The sequence below is a fragment of the Homo sapiens genome, chromosome 20 (genome assembly GCF_000001405.40).
Source record: "Homo sapiens chromosome 20, GRCh38.p14 Primary Assembly".
In the NCBI taxonomy this organism is placed as follows: Eukaryota; Metazoa; Chordata; class Mammalia; order Primates; family Hominidae; genus Homo; species Homo sapiens.
Window position 1 is genome coordinate 49,663,208 of NC_000020.11, and position 23,249 is coordinate 49,686,456.

A 23,249-nucleotide genomic window follows, 5' to 3' on the forward strand; every position below is an offset into this window, starting at 1 on the left:
GAGAGTTGAAGGTGGCTTCTGGTCATCTTATTTCTTAACCTGGATGCTGGTTATTCAGATATATTCATTTTCTAAACATTCACCAAGCTTTTTGCTTACATGTACACATTTTAATGTTATATGTCAACAAAATTTACCTTCCCCAAAAATAAGGTGAGCAAAACCCATGAATTGACTTCCAAGACATATTATGCTACTTAATAAAGGGAAATTGATATGCACTCACATATTTTTACAAAAAAAAAAACATAGGAAGAGTAAACCAGAAACTAATAAAAATGAAGGGGTAGGACTGAGGCCTGAGTACACCTTTTATATTTTGGACATTTACGTATTAAAAAAATTATCTAGCTGGGCATGGTGGCACACACCTATGGTCCCAGCTGCTTGGGAGGCTGAAGTAGGAGGCTGGCTTGAGCCCAGGAGTTTAAGTCCAGCCAGAGCAACATAGTGAGAATTCATCTCAAGAAAAAAAAAAAAAAAATATATACATATATATATATATATATATATATATATATGAAAAATGGGCAAACCCTAAAACTAAATACAAACACAAACAAATAATTCTAATAATACATTGTACTGAAAACACAACCAACGGAAAAGTACTCCGATACATTCTTTGAGAGATATACTGTAAGGACAAAAAGAACCGTAAAGAATCTGGAACTCTGTTTAGCAGGTCTGTTGATTACAGTCATATTTGGGTCATAATCATGACATGGAAATCAATGGATGCTAAAACCCTCAGGTGAAAGGGTTGTTGAAGAGGATAGTCAAAACACATATTCAATGCACCACCCCACAAATTACATGTTGATCACAACTGACATTTGTAATTTTGCTGCATAAGAGGAAGATCTAGCAGGTCATCCCTTTACCAAATGTCTCAACTCAGCAACCCCAATATTAGAACAACCTACAGTTCCAGGCTCCTAATGCAATGTAAGATATTTACTTCCTATATAATATTCTTGCTAATCTACTGAAGAGAAAACAAGAAGATAAATCTAGAATATCCCTTAAGAGTTGGGATCTCACTCTGTCACCCAGGTTGGAGTGCAGTGGCATGAACATGGCTCACTGAAGCCTCCAACTCCTGGGCTCAAGTGATCCTCCCAACTCAGCCTCAGGAGGAGCTGGGACCACAGCGGAATGCCCCCACACACAGAGCTAACATTTATATTTTTTTAGAGATGAGGTCTCCAAATACACACACACACACACACACACACACACACACACACACACACACACACACTTTAGATTCTTCAGGCTGAAAGAACATAGGATATTCTACAAAATAACTGATCTGGACCAAAAAAAAGCAGGGGCTATTCTAGATTAGAGACATAACTAAACGCAATACATGAACTTTGACTAAATTCTGAATAGAAAAATCAGAGTGCTAAAATAGATATTTTTGAGACAAGTGAGAAAAATTAAACATGGAATGTATATCAGATATTACTAAATGTTAAGCTTAAGTGTAATCATAGTGCTGTGATTATGCATAATGCGCTTATTCTCAGGAGATGTATATTGAAGTATTTAGAGGTTTCGCATCATGATGTCTACAACTTTACTTTCAAATGCTTCTGAAAAAAATGTGTGCATATGCACATATGCATGTATGAGCTTATGTATGCATATAAAAAGTTAAAGCAAATGTGACAAAATGCTACCAACTGGTGAACTCAGGTGTAGAGCATATATTTATTGTACTATTTTCTCAATGTCTCTACAGATTTGCAATTTTTTTCCAAAAGAAAAATAAAAGGTTGTTAATTAATGTGTTGCAACTGCCAGGTTAAGTGGCTTACTGTTCTGCTGGACTTCAAGCTTTCTCCAAAAGGGGAAAAGTAAAGTGGCCACTTACTCTCCAGGAGTGGCCAAGTTCCCAACTTTATTTAATGAAGAAACAGAGCTGGGCACAGTGGCTCATGCCTGTAATCCCAGCAGTTTGGGAGGCCTAAGCAGGAGGATCACTTGAGGCTAGGAGTTTGAGAACAGCCTGGGCTGTTCCTAGTGAGGCTCTGTCTCTACAAAAAAATTTAAAAATCAGCTGGGCATGATGGCGTACTCCCAAGCTACTTGGGAGGCCAAGGTAGAAGAATCCTTCGAGCTCAGGAGTTTGAGCTGCAGTGAGTTATGATCATGTCACTGCACTCCAGCCTGGGTAACACAGCAAGACCCTGTCTCTCAAAAAGGGGGGGTGGGGGGGTAGTAGTAATAATAATAATAATAATAATAATAATAATAATAATAATAATGAAGAAACATCAAGTCCTAAGGACTTTTTACACTTCTATAAAACACCAGCTACAAAGAGATGATGAATTCTTTTATAAATGTTACAAACTGTAATTCAGACATACATTCATTCAACACTCATTATATACATAAGATGTTCCAGGACTGCCCTATACTCTAAAGATAAAGAGATACAAGTAAGACACAGTCCCTGCCATCACCTTGCAATGGAAGAATAGTCACGTTTGTTCAGGGGTACAGGAGAGTGGCTACTAGATCATATTGGGAGCAGGGGCCAGGAAAATACTCTCAGAAGAGGTAATTCTAGAGTATGGTCCTGAAAGAAGAGCACTGAAGCAGGAGAGGGAGCAGCATAAATGAAAACAAAGAGCCATCCAGGGGGAAATACATCTGAGGAATCAAAGAAGTTTCATATGGCTGGAGCGAAGGTTGCATATGGCAAGAACATGAGACGGGAGGCTAGAAAAATGGGGGGAGCAAGAGCGAAAGGGCTTCACGCACTATACTTGGGGTCTGAACTTGATTCTGAAAGCCACGACATTGCAGAAACGGTCCAGGATTGGATTTCCAGTGGGCCAATGAGTAGGTATCAATCGGAACAAGTAAATTTACCCTACTCAAAATTCCTGGCTCCAGATTAAGGACTGAACTTTTTAGTATCCACATCTAAATTCTTAGATGAACTAAATAAGATTCTGTGTGTAGAATCCCCCAGGTGATTAATAAAAGTTGGGAGCCTGAATCTTAGCAAAGACTGTACTTTCTACATGGAGCAATGCAGAGGAACACCACATCTCCATGGCATGTAGAGTGGAGGGAAAATGTCAAGATATAAAGCTAGACACAACTGACCAGAGCCAGAAAGAATGACACTCAGCAAAGGTGCTGCTTGGTGCTCAGGGGGGTCTGTTAGACTGGGTTTTCTTTCTCTGAATTTACTCACATCATCATCCCACTATAAAATGTGGGATTTATAACAGAGTCAAATAAATTCCAGAAAAACACTGGAGCCAATCTATGGATCACAGGTTCTACCTCTTTAGCATGTCCATGCTTTTGGCATAAAGAACAGGGAAAAGGGAAGAGAATCTAAAGAGAAGAGAAGCAGAAAATGAATAAATAGAACAGGAGGCTCCCTCTCACGCTCATGCTTGCTAGTGCTCTCTCCTTCCCCCATATACAAAATACACAGATAAGACACAATAAAAATTAAGGAAAAACAAAATGTGCCAAAGGAATGTTGAAGTTTGATTTCTGCCATGCTAGAGTATCTGCAAAACCTGCATTATCTTTTTAGACCAATATTTTGTGGAAAAAGCACAACCTGAAAAATAATTCAACCTTACCCCCAAACAAGCAGATGATCAGTGTTCACTGCTCTGCACAACAGGTAAAGAAAGAATCTGCTTATTCTGCTTATAAAGAGATGGATTCCTATACAACTAATAATGCATTTATTGAGTCCTTATGTGCCAGCACCTTTCCAAATGCCTGTGTTTTATCTCATTTCATCCTCACAATAACTGAGAGGCAGGTTGTTACCATCAATTTAGAGATGAAAAAAACTCAGGTCTGAATACGCAATCTGACCATGTGGAGCCAAGATTTCACAGCAGGCTTTGTCTCCAGAGTCCAGATTTTTAACAAACATGCTCTACTGCCTCTCAGATGCTCAATCCCCTGAATCCACAGCTACTATGCTGCCCACACTTTGTTTGATTCCTTTTACTTGGATCTTTTTGAAGTGTTTTTTTTTTTTTGGCTTGTGTTGTTGTTGTTTTTTTTGAGACGGACTCTCGCTGTCACCCAGGCTGGAGTGCAGTGGCGCGATCTCAGCTCACTGCAGGCTGCGCCCCCCAGGGGTTCACGCCATTCTCCTGCCTCAGCCTCCCGAGTAGCTGGGACTACAGGTGCCTGCCACCTCGCCCGGCTAATTTTTTTTGTATTTTTAGTAGAGACGGGGTTTCACTGTGTCAGCCAGGATGGTCTCGATCTCCTGACCTTGTGATCCACCCGCCTTGGCCTCCCAAAGTGCTGGGATTACAGGTGTGAGCCACCGCGCCCGGCCTGTTGTTGTTTTTGACAGGATCTTGCTCTGTCACTCAGGCTGGAGTGCAGTGGCACGATCATGGCTCACTGCAGTCTTAACCTCCCTGGCTCAAGCAGTCCTCACACTTTGGCCTCCCAAAGTGCTGGGATTATAGGTGTGAGCCACCCCGCATGGCCAATATTACCTGGATCTTTACTGTCAACATGTCATATATTTCAGGCTTCCAATATTCCACTTCAGGAGTGGGTGCCAATACTCACGCTATAATGCATCCCCCAAATTTTATAAGTTTGAAGCTCTAATGTGAATCATGAATTTTTCCATTTTAAATCTGCTTAAAATGCTGGATACTCATACTATGCATTACATACATTAACATACATTTAAGAGAGAAAATACAGCTTTTTTAAGATACAAGGAATTTTTGGCAGCAAAATTTACACCCATTGTCTTATCTATTTAAATATTTTGGAGCAACCGTGTGACAATTTTCATACAAAAAGTGTTTAAAGAGAACTGGGAGGAGGGGGGACACATACACACATTAACAAAGTAAATAATACAAAAAAATATTTTGGGGGAAAAATTGATTTGAGGAAACTTTTGCTTTCCTAATCCTTCTCATTTGAGGCAGAAAAATCACAAAGTCATTCGTAGGTTTCATTTTTCACCCTAATTACTATTCCTAGCTATTAAAAAAATCCAAGTGGTAAAAATTAACAGCTATGAAGTACCCTATAAACATTTCCACTGACCTATTAGTCTACCATCTGTTAAATTATTAAACTGTACATAAGATTAGACATGAAAATGCTGTCTAAACAGATACTAGATGGCTGGGTAGCCTATGGTAAGTACTTTACTGATCTAAGCTTCAGCTTTGCTTCCCCCAAAATTCTTAATAGCATGACCAGTTATCAACCCTCAGAAGTACCAATATCCACATGCACAGCCACATAACCTCAGTATAAGCTTGGGTGGGAGAAAACTGTAAATTACCTTGCTGGTTCCATTGAAACTGAACACGTACACTTATCAAAACAACCCTGCGGAGAATGGGTGGGGGTGGGGGGGGCGTCAGGGTATGACGGATGTTGCTGATGGGAATGTGCTAGAGGCACAAGACCAGCACTGCCACACTCCTCTGTGGAACTGAAACCAGAACAAAGGCTCTGCTCCCCTCACCTCCGCACCCCCTCGTCCTAATCTCTGTCCGTCACCGCCCCCACTCCACCGACCAATCCCTGTCCCTGAATTGCCTTGTGGTTCCAGCCTCCCACCCCCACTGACACCTCCTCTGTATGAACGTGCTTTTGTGACACCCGCTCATACTAAGCTTTTTTTTTAGACAGTGTCTCGTCCTGTCACCCAGGCTGGATTGCAGTGGCACAAACACAGCTCACTGCAACCTCAACTTCCTTGGCTCAAGCAATCCTCCTGCCTCAGCCTCCTGTGTAGCTGGGACCACAGGCGTACACCACCACATCTGGTGAATTTTTTTATTTTTGTAGAGGTAGAATCTCACTTTGTTGCCCAGGCTGGTCTCAAACTCCTGGGCTCAAGCAATCCTCCTGCCTCAGCCTCCCAAACTGCTGGGATTACATGTGAGAGCCATCATGCCCAGCCAATACTAAGCTTTAATGTCCCTTTCCTAGCTTTTCCTGGTATCATCCCACCCCCAAGATTAGAACTGCCTACACCTATCTTTGGGCTCTTTCTCAACTGATACACCAACTTCTATCCATGACCTCTACAAATTTGAGCATGTCTCTCTCTTCCAATAGACTGTAAGCTCCTTAAGAGTACAGACAGTCTTATTCTTTTCTTCATCAACTTCTGATAAATAGTAGGCATTTAGCTATTTATTAAAGAATTACATAGGCTGGGCGTGGTTGCTCACACCTGTAATCCCAGCACTTTGGGAGGCTGAGGCAGGTGGATCACCTGAGGTCAGGAGTTCGCAACCAACCTGACCAACATGGAGAAACACCGTCTCTACTAAAAATACAAAATCAGCCGAGCATGGTGGTGCATGCCTGTAATCCCAGTTACTCGGGAGGCTGAGAAAGGAGAATCACTTGAACCTGGGAGGCGGATGTTGCAGTGAGCTAAGATCGCGCCATTGCACTCCAGCCTGGGCAACAAGAGCGAAACTCCACCTCAAAAAAAAAAAAAAAAAGAATTATAGCTTGGCACACAGATGCTGTGATAGCCGGAGGAGTTGCCTTGCTTTTTTAAGGTAGAAGTATACTGGTTTTTCTGCAACCACAAAAAAAAAGGCTATAAGCCAGAAAAGGTCATAGTGAAACTGATACTTCACCAACTGTGCTGGTGTTCGTGCAGACTGGTATAAACCCTTTGGGAAAACTATTTGCAAATTCAACAATAGCCATAAAAATGCTCATACCTTCTGAGCTAGCAAAGTATCCTAAATATGAGGCTATTCTATGCACAAAGTTTTTACTTACATTATTTCTAAAAGCAAAATCTTGGGAAACAACTCAAAATCAACAACCAGCAGCTCTCAGTGCTGCTCTGCCTGTGGAGTAGCCAGTTTCTTTTCTTCTCTAATAAACTTGCTTTCACTTACTAAAACAACAGCACATAAACTGTGACACAAAACTTGACGGAATCTTACACATCTTTAAAAGTGAAAACTATGCAACCTTATCACCATACACCTTATGTATAATATTTAGCATAGACTATCACATTTTTAACAACATGAAAAAAGTTCTGCTATATCTTGACAACTATTGCTAAGGAATAAGAACATGTATCAGGCTAAAACAGACTTGAGGCAAATTTACCAACCTGCTTTGCTGTTAGGGAGTAACAGTGATGTGAGATGACCTTTTTTCCTTCTGTTTTACCAATGTTCTTTACAACAGTAATGATTTATTTTTTTGAGACAGGGTCTTACTATGTTGCCCAGGCTGGTCTCAAATTCCTGAGCTCAAGAGATCTTCATGCCTTAGCTCCCAAGCAGCTGGGACTACAGGCATGCATCATGGTGTCTGACTGAGTGAGGGTTTAAAAGAATGCAATTCTATAGCAAAAAGTTGAATTTCTTCAACACTGAACTGCTATCTGCCTACAACTAAGTTTCTTCTAACCCTTTGCAAACATGTAACGTAAAATTTTAAGTTGACACTACAAACTGCTTGTCTAAATGAGTCAAAAGACTGATACCTGTTCTACCAAAGCCTCACCAACATTCAGAGGCTTTGGTGGAACAGGTATCCCACACCTTGTTGATGGAAACAAATTGATATAACCTCTAGAGAGGTTGGCAATACAGATCAAAGTGAAATGTTCATACTCTAACCCAGTAGTTCCTACTTTCAGGTATTCATCCTAAAGAAATAATTGGATAAATAACAAATGTGTTCAATACTGTTTATCTCAGTGCTACTTATAAAAGCAAAACTCCAACCTATCTATGCACCAAAAGGGTCTGGAAAAAAAATTATGGCAAAATCAGACCATGACTAACTCAGCTATCACTGAAATAATGATTATTGTTTTAGAAGTACTCACTATTTAAAAATCATACCGTGCAGGCCAGGCACGGTGGCTCATGCCTATAATCCCAGCACTTTGGGAGGCCAAGGTGGGCGGATCACCTGAGGTCAGGAGTTCAAGATCAGCCTGGTCAACATGGCGAAACCCCATCTCTACAAAAAATACAAAAATTAACCGGGTGTGGTGGTGCATGCCTGTAACCCCAGCTACTCAGGAGGCTGAGGTGGATCACTTGAACTTGGGAAGCAGAGGTTGTGGTGAGTTGAAATCATGCCACTACACTCCAGCCTGAGTGACAGAGTGAGACTCTGTCTCAAAAAATAATAATTTTCTGAGATTATGTCTGCATTTGTGCTAAATAATTTACGCTAGGAGCAGTAATAAAAGCAGAGATGAAGCTATTGATTCAAGACGGTATATACATTGTATATATACTACATACAGTATATCACATTTGTGTTAAAGACACAAAGGAAAATATAAGCCTAGAACAGTTTTAGAAATCACTTATCAAGATGTTCAGTGTTTTTTATCTCTGTGTGGCAGAATTACAGGTCATCTGGGTTGTCTTTTCTTTGTTACAATGCAACATTTCCATGAACATCAGAACCCTGTAAGATAAGGAGGTTCTCTGTTCCACTAGTGAAAAACTGCAGTAACCAAATCTGTTTAAATCAACTGACCCAAAATTTCAAAGTTTCCAAAGTTACTGAGAACCCCTTTTCACACAGCATCTACTTTATGAGCACCCTTTAGGAATGCTGCCTTTGGGCAGGGTCTTTTTCTTTTCATTTTTTTTTAAAACAATAATCAATAAATTTTTGTATGGGGTCGGGGGAAGCACAAAAACACAACCTTCTGCCTTAGTAAGAGATTCCTCCCCTCTTCATTGCTCCAGACCCTAATAATTCCCCTAATCTCAAACTGTTATTCTACCCCCAAATTATCCTACCCCAAATGATTCATAATGATCCTAAAGCTCTTGGTGCTTCTAGCTTTAACTTCATCAAGCAAGTTTCCTCTATCTAGCCTACCATCCAAACATATTCTTCCACATACTGTTCTTTGGTCTCCCTCCTGATTCTCTTTTGGAAAGATTATTCTTCATGTCCTATGGGGATAATATATTTTAATCACATTATTGTTAGCCTGGAAGCTTGTAACAGACTAATGGGTTATCTACTCGTTGGGAATTTAAGTGCTTCCAAGAAGGCAGCATTCCAACTGGTATTAACACCCAAACTGTCAAACATAGGAAATCAGAGCCATGCTTTCCATAAAAAGGCAAAAGATGCCAGAGAAAGCACTTGAAAATTTCTAGCTTCTAAGGCACACACACTTAGCAAAACAAAGTCTTTCCTTAACACCTTGTGGGTAATGAAACCCTTCCTCTCCTCCAGATGGCTTGTCTTTTGCATATATCAACTTGTAGTCCTAGAAACGGGTTCTCTGGGCCATGCAGAATGCTGGATTATTTTTCTGTCATCTATTATGACAGACAGACTCTGTCACTTGATCAGACATAAACTTTTCTTTCTTTAGCTAAGTAATGTTCACATTTTAAAGCAATTCAAGACCCAAGTCCACAGAAACAGAAGGGCCAACCTACTCTACAAAGGCACGTTGGAAGAGCATGATTGATGGAAACTTGTAAGGAGTCAGGCAAGGTGGCTCACACCTATAATCCAAGCCCTTTGAGAAGCCAAGGTGGGTGGCTTGGCCTCGACCTCCGCAAAGGCTTGGATTTAAAAAAGAAAACAAACCAGAAAAAAAACAAACAAAAAACAAATCTTGTAAGGCTACACTTTGGAAAGAAAATCAAAAACAAATTCTTCCCACAGATCACATAACTGCAAAGGGGGAAACGTGCATTTACAATGGAGAGATCAGATAGGTACCACTTAACCAAGTGCCCAAACTGGGTTATCACCAACTAGAACAAACTAAGATTACCTTCTGAGTATTCTTGCCAAAAACTTTTAATTTAAATCGAATCAAGCTCTTAGACTTATCTTCTGGTTTACAAAAATACAGTGGATTGGCCAGGCGCAGTGGCTCACACCTGTAATCCCAGCACTTTGGGAAGCCGAGGCAGGCGGATCACAAGGTCAGGAGTTCGAGACCAGCCTGGCCAACATGGTGAAACCCCATCTCTACTAAAAATACAAAAATTAGCTGGGCGTGGTGGTGGATGCCTGTAATCCCAGCTACTCAGGAGGCTGAGACAGGAGAATCGCTTGAACCCAGGAGGCAGAGATTGCAGCAAGCCGAGATCGTGCCACTGCACCCCAGCCTGGGTGACAAAGAGAGACTCCAACTCAAAAAAAAAACAACCAGAAAACTAGGGAACACATCAAAGTGACACTAGGCAATTCCAGAATGTAGGACATGCAATAATACTGGCCTGAACTCTTTCTCAAAGAGTTACTACAATGAGCAGTGGATGGGGTGAGAAAGCTACTAAAGACTAACAGACATAACCAAATGTAATATGTTATTTTGGGGATGGGGGCAGCTACAAATAACATTCTGAGCACCACTGGATGAGGACTGGATATTAGAAAGTATTATGATCACTTCTCGGCCTTCTGGCTAAGATCAAGTATTGAAAAGATTATGAAAGTACTGTTAATTTTCTTAGATGCAATAATAGTACTTTGATTAAACAGGAGAATGTCATTTTTTAAAGAGATGTGTGCTGAAGTATTTAAAGGTTAACTGCCTGGATAATTATCAACAATTTAACGTGGCTCAGTGGAGAAAGCAGAGCCACAGTTCAAACAAAAAAAGCAAAATAGTGGTAACTGTTGACTCCAGATGGAAGATAATGCTTTTATTGTGTTATTCTTGCAACTTTTCTGTAAGTTTGAATTTTTTCATAATAAAAAGTTCTGGGGGCCAGGCATGGTGGTTCACGCCTGTAATCCCACCACTTTGGGAGGCCGAGGTGGGCGGATCACGAGGTCAGGAGATTTAGACCATCCTGGCTAACACAGTGAAATCCCATCTCTATTAAAAATACAAAAAAAAAAAAAAAAAAAAAAAAATTAGCCAGGTGTGGTGGCAGGTGCCTGTAGTCCCAGCTACTCGGGAGGCTGAGGCAGAGCTTGCAGTGAGCCGAGACTGTGTCACTGCACTCCAGCCTGGGCGACAGAGCAAGACTCCATCTCAAAAAAAAAAAAAAAAAAGATGTGGGAAAAGTTTGGTTTGGGATGTATCTAGATTGCCAACTAAACCTAAATCAAAGTATACTAATATTAAAAATCCTGTAAATGGGCCAGGAATTGTTACAGAGGGAATAAAGACCCTAGCAATGTTCACATAAGAAGTTAAAGCACTGCGGGGTTTTTCTATGCCCGTAAAGTATTCTTTAGTCTTTGGAATCAAGAACTGCATTTAGGGTCGGGTGTGGTGGCTCATGCCTGTAATCCCAACACTTTGGAATTACAAAATCCCAGGAATTAGTAACTTTTTTTAGTGAGTCTGCAAATGTTACTGAATAAGCCAGCCGCAGGACTGCTCATGGAAGGGGAAGGGAGGCACAGGAGACCGAGGTGGGAGGATCACTTGAGCCCAGTAGTTACAGAGACCAGACCAGCCTGGGAAACATAGCGAGACCCCATCCCTATTAAAAAAAAAAAAGAAGAAGAAGAAGAAAAAGAATTGCATTTAGTCTTTACCTATAACGTCCTATAATGTCATAGGTGAACTAAAAGAAATGATAAATATATCCTCCTGTTGTCTCTCAATGGCTTTCCACCACTTTCAAGGTCCAAATTCCTCATGCTTAGTATGACTCAGAAAAGTCCATAAAACCTGGCTCCTGCCTCTGGAATTTCAGTTCTTGCCACTCCCAACTCTACCCACAATGGACAGTTCTCTGGAACCTGCTAAGATCTCAGACAATGCTGCTCCTACTGGCTAGGTGCAAAGACACAAAAACTAAGATTTCAAAAGCAAAAAATCCCGGGAAAAATAATCTATCACAACAAAAGCATGAGCTCAGGAAGAAAAGGGAGTGGAGGGGATAAGAGCAGGGGAGGGGGACCAAACCCAACTTTGCCTCCCTTCCCCTTCCACGAGCAGCCTGGTGGCTGGCTTGTTCCGTGTGTTCAGTAACATTTGCAAGGACCAAAAAAATCACTAATTCCTAAGATTGCTGTTACTCTCAAACAAAAGTCAATTCCCAAGCCCACACACCCCACAGTCAAGCTGAGAGTTAAAACTCAGAAAACTCAAAGGCCTTAGGATACTGACCCTATGCTGGCAACCACATAGCTCAGAAATGCAACAAATATTAAATTATGGTGTCCTGTAATGGATTTACACTTTACTTTTAAATATTAACAAGACGGCCACAGGGAGTAAGTTTATCAAGGGATAAGAATCCTAACAGTACCTCCTAGTTCACTCAGAGGCCAATTAACATTTCCCACCACGCCCAACAACAAGGCTCCTGGGGGTGTTCAAAGTTGCTTATGACCCTGTGGAGCTATCAGCAGGTACCTCTGCCCCAGAACCTATTATGAGCAATGCACTAGGGGCTCGGTGCACAAGGAAACACCTGAACTACAACTACCCAAGCAAATATCATATCTTTGTAGGTTGTCGGGTTTCTTCAGCTGTCTGAAGATACAAAACCTCATGTGACTGTTTGATTTTTAGTCTCTTCTCACCTTGGTCTTCCTTTCTCACAGTTATTTTTAAAATCAGCAACTGGCTAATATTTGAAAACTGTCAGTAGCCAACTGTCCGTTTCACAATTAGATCACTGTTCAAAAGGAGCAGAATTTTCAACTCTAGACTTTAGTTCAACAAGCTAGCAAATCATTACAGGAATGAGTGACTTCATCTTTACAGCTGGGTCGCTGCACTATGAGGCTACACTAAAATATACCTAATTGTTGAATTCCAACATGTCTGTAGGCCCTCCCCGCATCTTCAAGGTTAGAGTTTTTATTATTGCATCCTCCCCCAACCCAACCCCCCCAGACAAAGCTTGGCATTTTCGGAATCCCTACTCATAAAGTGACTCAGTCCACCGATGGGCCAACTGACAAATCCTTAAGGGATTAAGATATTACCAGGTAAAAAGTGACTTTTAAAAATGTACATAATACATATATATGTAGAGAGAGAGAGTGTGTGTGTGTGTGTTACAGGAAAGCTATTAACTATACTATGAATAAAACAAAATTTCACTGAAAATAAAAGTGATCAGGTAGCACTGACTACAACCTTCTAAATTCCCCCTAAATGAATCCACAGAAAGACTTTCTTGAAGGGTCTTTTGCTAATTTGCGGTTAGAACACAACACACTCAAGAAAATGATGCTCACAGCAGGACACTAATACTAAGTAATTTCTGAGATTATGTCTGCATTTGTGCTAAATAATTTATGCTAGGAGCAGAAATAAAAGCAGAGATGAAGTTAAGCTATTGATTGAAGACTGTGCTAACCCCATTAAAAATAAAGAGAGGTATGAATGTGTGCCTTCACAACTCAGCTCAGGATATACTTGCCAACTGAGCTCTTCCTTCCGTAAGAAGGCCCATTGCTCTTGGCTACTGCGCAGGGGCTATGAAGGCCCCATGGTTCTAGGACTAGAGCAGATGCGTACAAACTCCCTAAAGTCACAGGAAGGAAGGGGAGGCACAACTGGAGAGAAGTTGGTGAACTGCCTCTCTGGCCCATAGGGGCATGAGGGCGGGGGGCACAGAATAAAACCATAAAGCAATAATTTTCACTATTTAAAAGAACAAGTCTAAATGGCACACATCCTCTGTGTCTAAGATGACTAGCACTGCTGTTTTTTGATGAGTCATCAAGGGCAGTCATGCTGAAAAGCAGGGATACTTCTGTATTCCACCTATGTAATCATTCCAAAATTATGGGATTGGAACATTACAATACCTATGATGTATGTCCTTATATTTGTATGTGTTTGTGTGCTTACCCTTAAGTGGTGTTTTTTGTTTTGTTTTGTTTTTGCTGACTTCTTTGTTCTAGGGGGTATTTCTGCAGCCTTCTCAGAAAAACCTCAGGGTATTAGAGAAGGTACAACTTGCTAATGGCATCTGGTGAGCATGGGCTGGAAGGGGAACCACCGGGAAACACAGTTGTCAATAACCACACCCGCTATGGTGCAAACATGACCCACATACAAACTGAAGTACAAGTACAACCCCTCCCAAAAGTCTAGCCCTAAGATAATAGCACAGAAACTAAGCCTAACAAGGTGCTTGGAACCTCTTCCTACCTGCACCAACCACCCTCTGCACACCATCCCCAGCAAGACCCCCTGCCTCCAACTCCCCTAAAGCAGCATTTCCAGGATAGCACTATTCTTTAATCCACTGACAACTTTGGCACTGGCTAAGGCTTACTATTTTTATCCCCTTTCACACCATTCTCTGAGCAGAAATGCTAGGTGCAAACATTTGTTGGTAATTATGTTAAAGTAAGTCTTCTTAAGAACAAATGGTAAAATGAATACATGAAAACTTTGCAATCTATTTTTGAAGAATTGTCTGCAAAAAGAGTGGAAATTGAGTTTTTCTTACGCAGCTGAAAGGATAAAACAAAAATTACATATAATCAGAACACAATATAAAATAAGGATCGTACTCCCCCAAAATTACATCTGTATTTGGCTGTGAGAGGTGAAATATCTTTGATTGATTGATTGATTGATTGATTTTTGGGATGGAGTCTCACTCTAACGCCCTGGCTGGAGTGCAATGGTGCAATCTCGGCTCACTGCCATCTCCGCCTCCCAAGTTGAAGCAATTCTCCTGCCTCAGCCTCCTGAGTAGCTGGGATTACAGGCATGTGCCACCATGCCCAGCTAATTTTTGTATTTTTTAGTAGAGACAGGAGTTTCACCATGTTGGTCAGGCTGGTCTCGAACCCCTGACCTCAGGTGATCTGCCCGCCTCAGCCTCCCCAAGTGCTGGAATTATAGGCGTGAGTCATCACGCCCAGCCTGAAATATCTTTTAAATCTTGTTAGCATGTGCTCTGAAAGATATGTTCCACCTTAGGACAAACAGCAAACAAACTTTATTTCTTCAGAACACAGCAAATGGCAGGGTAGAGAATCAAATGACACTGGAAGTGGGGCCTTGATCTCACCCCTCCTGATATGGCAAGCACACAGGGCCTAGAGTCCTGGGCTAAACTAAAAGATGAAGGTCAACTTGGTTACTAATTTCGCAGAGCAAGTCCAAGGCAATCAAAATAGAAAAGCAAAACCAACCCTGGAACTCACAAAGGACTGGACACATGTCATGGAATTATTTATAGTCTAGGACAGGTGAACAATAATTTGGCTGGACAAGAATGCAGGCCCTTTTCTGAGTTCACTCTCACTGTTCCAAGAATGAAGATGTCTTGCTATTCTAGCTGCAAGACAGGCACCAGCCATGAGTCCCTACGTGGTGGTGTGCATGCTGCCTCTGAAGGACAAGCCTCATAATTATCTGGCCAAGATATCTTGAAAGAAGCCTACTAATGCATAAAATACATAATCACTGAGCCCTGGAAGCCATCCAGGTACCCTCGGGCCTTTGGGAGTTGGACAGACATGTAGCAAGGACACATTCTCTCAAACTTCCTCCTAACACAAGCCTTAATCAATATTAAGGGTTAAAAGGTTTCATTTAACTTCGATAAAGTAGGTATTAGTACTCTCATAGAAAAACAAGCTGAGACTCAATCACTGCTTTCATTTGGCTTAACAGCTCACTACTAGGCTTGCTACTAAGACCTTGAAGATCCTTGGCTTCCATATCCACTTCAATATAAACATTGTTAGTGCTGTTACTGGTAATGGGGGCTGGGGGGAATCCCCAGGGTTCCTGGAGCACAAAGCAAAGTTCCCTCCATTCTCCTAATTACATTAATTTAATCCCTTGCCCACTACATGATTACATTAAAAGGGGCTGGGGGTGGGGAGGGTAACATAAAGCCAAGACCCAAAGTTAACCACAATACAAAAGGAGAGAAGAATGGATACTATGATCTTCCTTTTAAACTTTCATTATAGCTGACTGCAGAACTGCTGGGATGACTCAATAGATTATGGGAAATGGCCTAAAAGTCTACTGGAAACCAGACTGAACTGTGGCCACATCTTAAAAATAACCTCTTGCCTCTAATTTTCTTCTCCCCCAATTTTTTTGACTAAAAAGGGTTTTTTGCTGTTTCGTTGTTGTTGTTTCGCAATCACCAGTCCTAAAATGAAGCTAAAAATTTATTTTCATTTTATCCTTGGTCATTCTCTAGCACCACAATCAAGAACATTAATGAGTCTTTCCTACAATACCGAAAGTTAGTTAAACAAATACCTTGTTTCCCAGCACTTTGGGAGGCCGAGACAGGCGGATCATGAGGTCAGAAGTTCGAGACCAGCCTGGCTAACAGGGTGAAACCCCGTCTCTACTAAAAAAAAAAAAATACAAAAAATTAGCCAGGCGTGGTGGCATGCACCTGTAGTCCCAGCTACTCAGGAGGCTGAGGCAGGAGAATCACTTGAACCCAGGAGGCGGAGGTTGCAGTGAGCCGAGATCCCACCACTGCACTCCAACCTGGGCAACAAAGTGAGACTACATCTTCAAAAAAAACAAAAACAAAAAACAAAAACCTTGTTTCACACATCAGCTGAACTTTCAGTGGACCTGACTACTGAACCCCAAAGGACAGCCAGGTTTTCCTTTAACACATATTGCTGCCATAAAAACTGCTGTTATCAGGCAAAGAATGAATAGGTTATTTAGGAAATATGGCAAATATTTAATAACTGATTTTTTTCAGTATACCTGCCTTGAAGCAACAGGGAAATATTACAGGACTTGGCCCCTAAGCTCAGCAATTTGTCAAATGAGTAAGTGGTAAAATCACGCTCTCCAAGATACCTCTCACTAAATACATTTATCACATTCCAGAAGAAGAAAACTATTTTGACTTGATTGCTACCTTTAAACTGTCCCTTTTTCAGGTTTTCTATCTATTTCAAATGAGACAAGCTTATCCTTTGATTAAAATGCCATATAATAAAATCCATCAAATCATATTAGCCAGAGGGTCAACAATCCAGCTATTCAATAGCATTATCATTATTTTACTAGTAGCACAAATAAGAGGGCTGCATGGGCTGAAGAGCCATTTCAACAAGCTCTTGGAGTGTTCTGGACACAGAGACCATGAGTGTTTTGGAACATAAGGCTGAGCTATGGAGACCCTTCTGCAGCAAAGAATTCCTGTCAGAAATAAGACTCGATATTAGAGGTTGTTTTAAAAAATAATAATAATAAAAGCACTGATGTGCATCCTAGGATGTTTAGCAAAATTAAAACTTAAAAAATTTAAACTTAAAAAGCAGTGAAACATGCTGTAACATAGATGAACCTTGAAAACATGCTAAGTGAACTATGCCAGAACACAAAAGTACAAATATTATATGATTCCATTTATCTGAGGTACCCAGAATAGGTAAATTCACAGACACGGAAAGTAGAATGGTGATTATTAGAAGTTGCGGAGAAGGGGACTAATAATAGGTGGACTAATAATAGAGGTTGAGAAGGGGACTAATTTTTAATAGGTGCAGAGTTTCTGTTTGGAATGAAGAAATCAAGTTCTGGAAACGAATAGTAGTAATGGTTGCGTAATATTGAGAATGTACTTAACGCCACTAAATTGTATACTTCAAATGATTTAAATGGTACTTTTTTTTTTCCGTAAAGTGAAAGCAAGTTTATTAAGAAAGTAAAGAAATAAAAGAATGGCTACTCCATAGGCAGGACAACCTAAAATGGCCTATTTTATGTTATGTATATTTTACCATATATTTTACCACAATTTAAAAAAACTGTACATAAAAACTAGAATTATAATTTAATAAGTTCCAGCACTTTGGGGAGGCTGACGTGGGAGAACTACCTGAGGCCAGGAGTTTGAGACCAGCCTGGGAAACAGAGTTAAACCTTATTTCTACCAAAAACAATTAGCCAGGCGTGGTGGCATGCATCTGTTGTCCCAGCTACTCAGGAGGCTGAGGCTGGAGGTTTGTTTGAGCCCATGTGTTTTAGGTTATAGTGAGCTATGATCACACCACTGGACTCCAGCCTGCGCAACAGAGCAAGACCCCATCTCTAAAAAAAAAAAAAAAAAAAAAAATAGTAAGAAGAACATAGGTGGTAAATAATAAACTTAGCCGGAAGGACACTGAGGTTCTGTATTTAAAATTCACGTTAAGAGTCAGAGCGCTACATGCATCCGTAATCAGAATCAAAGAATCCACACTCCCAAAGTGACAAAACAGCCCCAAACTAATTTCTCTCATTTTAATGCTGCAGATCCCCAAGGCCCAGACCCTGGACTTCTCGATCTACACTCACTCCCTTGGTGATCTCATCCAGTCTCATGATTTCAAATACCACCTGTTTGCTGGACACTCCCAAATCCTTATATTGAGCCCTGACTTCTGCACTGAGCACCAGGATTGTAGACCAACAGCCTCCCTGCCATCTCCACTCAGAAGCCTAACAGTTACCTCAAATTTGTCCAAAACCAGATCACTGTCCTTCCCGTCCACAAACCTGTTCTACCGCAGTCTTCCCATCCTGGTTAATGGTAACTCTACCCTTTTACCCTCATTCCTTGTCAGTTCATTCTCAATTAGGCAACCAGTGGCATTCCTTACAACAGCAGTCAAATTTTCTAATTCCTCTATTTGAAAACCTCCAAGAAAGGCTGGGCGTGGTGGCTCACGCCTGTAATCCCAGCACTTTGGAAGGCTGAGGTGGGTGAAGGGCTTGAGCTCAAGAGTTTAAGACCAGTTTGGGCAACCTGGCAAGACCCCGTCTCTACAAAAAATACAAAAATTAGTCCGGCATGGTGGCTTGCGCCTGTAGTCCCAGGTCCTTGGGAGGCTAAAGTGGGAGGAGCATTTGAGCCTTTGAGGTTGAGGTTGTAGTGAGCTTCCATTGCATCACTGCACTCCAGCCTGGACAAAGGAGCCAGACCCTGTCTCAAAAATAAATAAATAAATAAAAACCCTCCAATGAATTCTCATCTCATTCAGAGTACACATCAAACTCTGGACAATGGCTTACACTAAACCAGGAGTCAGAAGCTGTGGTGGGTGAATCCTGCCCAGTGCCTGCCAGTGTGAATAAAGCACTGCTGGACACCCTGTGCCCCTCTGTGCACTGCCTACTACTGCTTCGGCATTGCAGGCAGAGTTGAGTTGTTGCTATGGACTGCAGAGTCGAAAACGTTTACATCTGGCCCTTCGCAGAGCAAGTCTGTCTACACCAGCTCTTAAATGATTTCCCTTATCCCTCTGACCTCATCTCTCTAGTTCTGCACCTCACTCACTCTGTTCCAGCCACACGGGCCTTCTCGCTGTCCTGTCCTGAAGATACCCATGCAAGCTCTCACCACAGGCCACTGACCCAACCACTGTCTTGGCAGCGCTGCCCAGACAACCACATGGCTTGCTCGCACACCTCCTGAATACCTCACTTCAGTGAGACCTTCCCTCATCACAATATATTTAAAATTGCAAAATTTCCTCTCTCTACTCCCTGCAAAGCATCCACTTTCCTCTGCTTCTCCAAAGCACTAATTACCTAAAAGGACACACAAGTTTGCCTACCACATAGCAGCAGCCCAATAAATATTTGTTAAATGTAGTTAAGAGTATTATTAGTGAGCCTAAGGCAAAAATTCAAGATTCCAATTCTAGGCCGGCGCAGTGGCTCACATCTGCAATCCTAACACTTCAGGAGGTTAAGGCAGGAGGATCACTTGAGCCCAGGAGTTTAAGATCAGCCTGGGCAACATAGGAAGGCCCCTTCTCTACTGACATAAAAAAATATTAGCCCGGCATGGTGGTGTGCACCTGTAGTCCCAGCCAGTTGGGAGGCTGAGGTGGGAAGTCTGCTTGAGCCCAGGAGTTCAAGGCTGCAGTGAACTGTGATTGCACCACTGCACTCCAGCCTGGTTAACAGAGTGGGAGACCCTGTTTCTGGGGAGGAAAAAAAAAAAGTGACATAGAAGGACGACATATGCTTATATACAACAAATACAAATTCTCAACTAAAAGTTAAATAATAAAAGTTATCCTAGAAATAAACTGTTTTGATTTCACAAATAATGTTCTCCTTAGAAGTTGCAAACTATCTGCACATAAATGTGCTCTGTTTAGTCTAACAGGTATTTTCTGGTTTTCCTTTTATCTTTAAGCTGAATAAATTGTCAGGTAAATGGTTTAATGGTTGAAAGTATTAACTCTGGAGGAGGGCTAGACAGGTTTAAATTTTTTTTTTTTTTTTTTTTTTTTTGGAGATGGAGTCTCACTCTGTTGCCCAGGCTGGAGTGCAATGGTGCAATCTCGGCTCACTACAACCTCCGCCTCCTGGGTTCAAGCGATTCTCATGTCTCAGCCTCCTGAGTAGCTGAGATTACAGGCACCCACCATCATGCCCGGCTAATTTTTGTATTTTTGTAGAGATGTCGGTTCACCATGTTGGCCAGCGTGGTCTTGAACTCCTGACCTCAGATGATCTGCCAACCTCAGATGATTTGCCCACCTCGGCCTCCCGAATGCTGGGATTACAGGCATGAGCCACTGCGCCCGGCCTAGACAGGTTTAAATTCTAGTCAGCTGAATGACCTTTGGCAAATTATTCATTCTGTGTTTCCTCATCCATAAAACGGGGATAATAATATCCCTATCTCATTTGTATTGAATGAGTTAATATTGGTAAAACATTTAAGAATAAAGACTGCAGCCAGGCACGGTGGCTCACGCCTGTAATCCCAGCACTTTGGGAGGCCGAGGTGGGTGGATCACTTGAGGTCAGAAGTTTGAGACCAGCCTGGCCAACATAGTAAAACCCTGTCTCTACTAAAAATACAAAAATTAGCCAGGTGTGGTGGCACATGCTTGTAATCTCAGCTACTTGGAAGGCTGAGGAGGGAGGATCGCTTGAACCCAGGAGGTGGAGGCTGCAGTGAGCTGAGATCACACCGCTGCTTTCCAGCCTGGGCAACAGAGCAAGATTCCATCTCAAAAAAAAAAGAGCAAAGTAATAGTACCTACCTCACTGGGTCAGGAAGAGAAGCAACACATGCAGAGCTCTAAGGGAGTCTTGTATATGGTGAGCGCTAATGTGTTCATTCAGAATTTACTTTAATTTAAAAAAAAAGTTGGCTGGGCGCGGTGGCTCATGCCTCTAATCCCAGCACTTTGGGAGGCTGAGGCAGGCGGATCACAAGGTCAGGAGATCGAGACCATCCTGGCTAACACAGTGAAACCCGGTCTCTACTAAAGACACAAAAAAATTAGCTGAGCGTGGCAGTGTGCGCCTGTAGTCCCAGCTGCTGGGGAGGCTGAGACAGCAGAATGGTGTGAACCCAGGAGGCAGAGCTTGCAGTGAGCCAAGGTTGCGCCACTGCACTCCAGCCTGGGCGATAGAGCAAGACTCCTCAAGAAGAAAAAAAAGTTGGTCCCTGAACTGAAAGAGGCCACATATCAAGGACATAAGCACGCAAAATCAGCAAGTGCCATACAGTAAGTACTGATCTACAACAGAAAGAAATCAAGGCATACCTGCAGACTTAAACGACATACTGAAGAGCCACGTCCTTGTTCAAATAATTCCATTCCAATTCCCCAGAGAACAGAGGTGGCATGCGGTAGGATTAGAGTTTCACTCAGCTAAGACAGAGGTTTGAGTCCCTGCTCGGCTTAGCTGTGTGATCTTGAGCTCGTGACCAAACTTCTTACAGTCTTAGGAGAGTTAGAAATAACAAATGTAGATTCCAGAGTGATTGAAACAGAGTAGGCCTTCAGGAAGTCACAGTTATTATTTGTATAAGCCTTTCAGTTTAGAGTAATTTTAGAATTATAGAAAAGTTGTGAATATAGTACACAGAGTTTCCATGCTGTTATTTTATTTTCAACAATATTGTTATTCTGATTGTGAAGAGAGGTAAACAATTTCTAAATTACACCTTAAAAATCCATGACAACAAAGAATACTGTCACTCTAGGAAACTTCTGATTTATGCACTTAAACACACCACTCCGCATCAGGTGAACTGATTTCCCAAGTTTGTTAAGATGTGTTACACAGTTTAAAGGCAGACATGACTAAGAGGCTAACATGTGTATCACAGACCTAGGAACACTTTCTCCATGTTGCCGTCTCTAAAAGGAACTTCAGCAGGTGCAGTGGGTGCCTCCTCTCAACTCATACCACAAACCCAGGGGCTTCAAAAATTACTTTCCCTCTACCAGGGCCCTTCAAAACACAGTATTTCCTAACCAACAGAAAACGAAAAACTCTGTGACCCAGACAGCCCAGCCTTTGAAAGCAGCAGGGGTAGCAACTGCTGAGCCTCAAAAGTCAGCCTCTGAGTAGCCACCCAGAATGCAATGGGCTGGCAAACAGTAGGGGAGAAAAACGCTGGATCCAAGCCTGGATCCCAGTGCTCACCGGACAATCATTTGTCCCATTTCCTCAATTATCTGTTTGTCTCCTATAGCTGTCTATCATAAAGGCAATGTGAAAATATTATTTTAAATTTTACAGAATAGAAATTACGGACTCAGAAGAGGCATATCCAGACAATAGGTAGAAAAGTAGAAAAATAACAGCTATTGTCCTAGAAATCAAATACAATACACACTAACATTTAGATCTGCTTTTAAGAGCTTTCAAAAACCTCACGTTATTAGACATTTTTGGATAGTTTTAAAAGTCTTGTTCTTTAACAGTAAGAAAAATGCATCCCCTGAATTGAAGCTTTAGAGTATTTAAAGTGAAAAGCTTGCTAAGAGATAAATGTGCAAAAAAAAAAAAAAAGTAGTATTTGAGCATTGCAGAGGGATTTCTCCTTTCTCCTGAGCTGCTGCTGTAACATCTCCTCTGACTCAGCACCTAAGAGGCATGATGGGAAGGGAGTACTATAAAAAAGCCATGCATTATTAACAAGACATTTGGCATCAAAGCAGAATGATTTGGAAAACCGGAAAATGTCCGCAGAATAAGAGAAAGGGGAGCTAACAGCTTAAATTATTTTTGGTAGTGTCATGCCATTCAAAATTGTCCATTCTAATCTTCTAAGCTGTCTTTTTCTCCCTTAGTTTTAGCTCTAATTCTGATCTCTTTATGTCTTTCCTACCTTACATTCCAAATGGTTACTACTTACATTCTGAGTGGATTTCTCTGTGTTGGTTTGCTCCTGTCAGTTTTAAAGAACTGCTGTACACGCATTAGATCCAATGAAGACAGACTGCAACAGAACTGCTCTGCAGAAGCCCAAGAGATACCACACATAGGATGTTAACACTTACTACTGCCTAGAAATCAAGAGTCTGTC

The 23,249-nt window shown here is 41.5% G+C and overlaps 1 protein-coding gene across 1 annotated transcript in view, besides 2 other annotated features; it reads right to left on the reverse strand.

Annotated features, from left to right (window-relative positions):
• The window catches only part of B4GALT5 (beta-1,4-galactosyltransferase 5), an 80,934-nt gene that overhangs the window by 30,263 nt on the left and 27,422 nt on the right, over positions 1 to 23,249 (reverse strand). The gene's annotated exons all lie outside the window — the stretch shown is intronic.
• Positions 13,391 to 13,470: an enhancer, noted in NCBI's record as "active region_18067". NCBI's record gives its function as "activates an Ori minimal core promoter by ATAC-STARR-seq in GM12878 lymphoblastoid cells {active_cell/tissue: GM12878}" and the evidence as "EXISTENCE:reporter gene assay evidence [ECO:0000049][PMID:35858748]".
• Positions 20,074 to 20,779: an enhancer, noted in NCBI's record as "H3K4me1 hESC enhancer chr20:48299818-48300523 (GRCh37/hg19 assembly coordinates)". NCBI's record gives its function as "activates a minimal SCP1, AML or CMV promoter by ChIP-STARR-seq in naive H9 embryonic stem cells {active_cell/tissue: H9 hESC(naive)}" and the evidence as "EXISTENCE:reporter gene assay evidence [ECO:0000049][PMID:30033119]".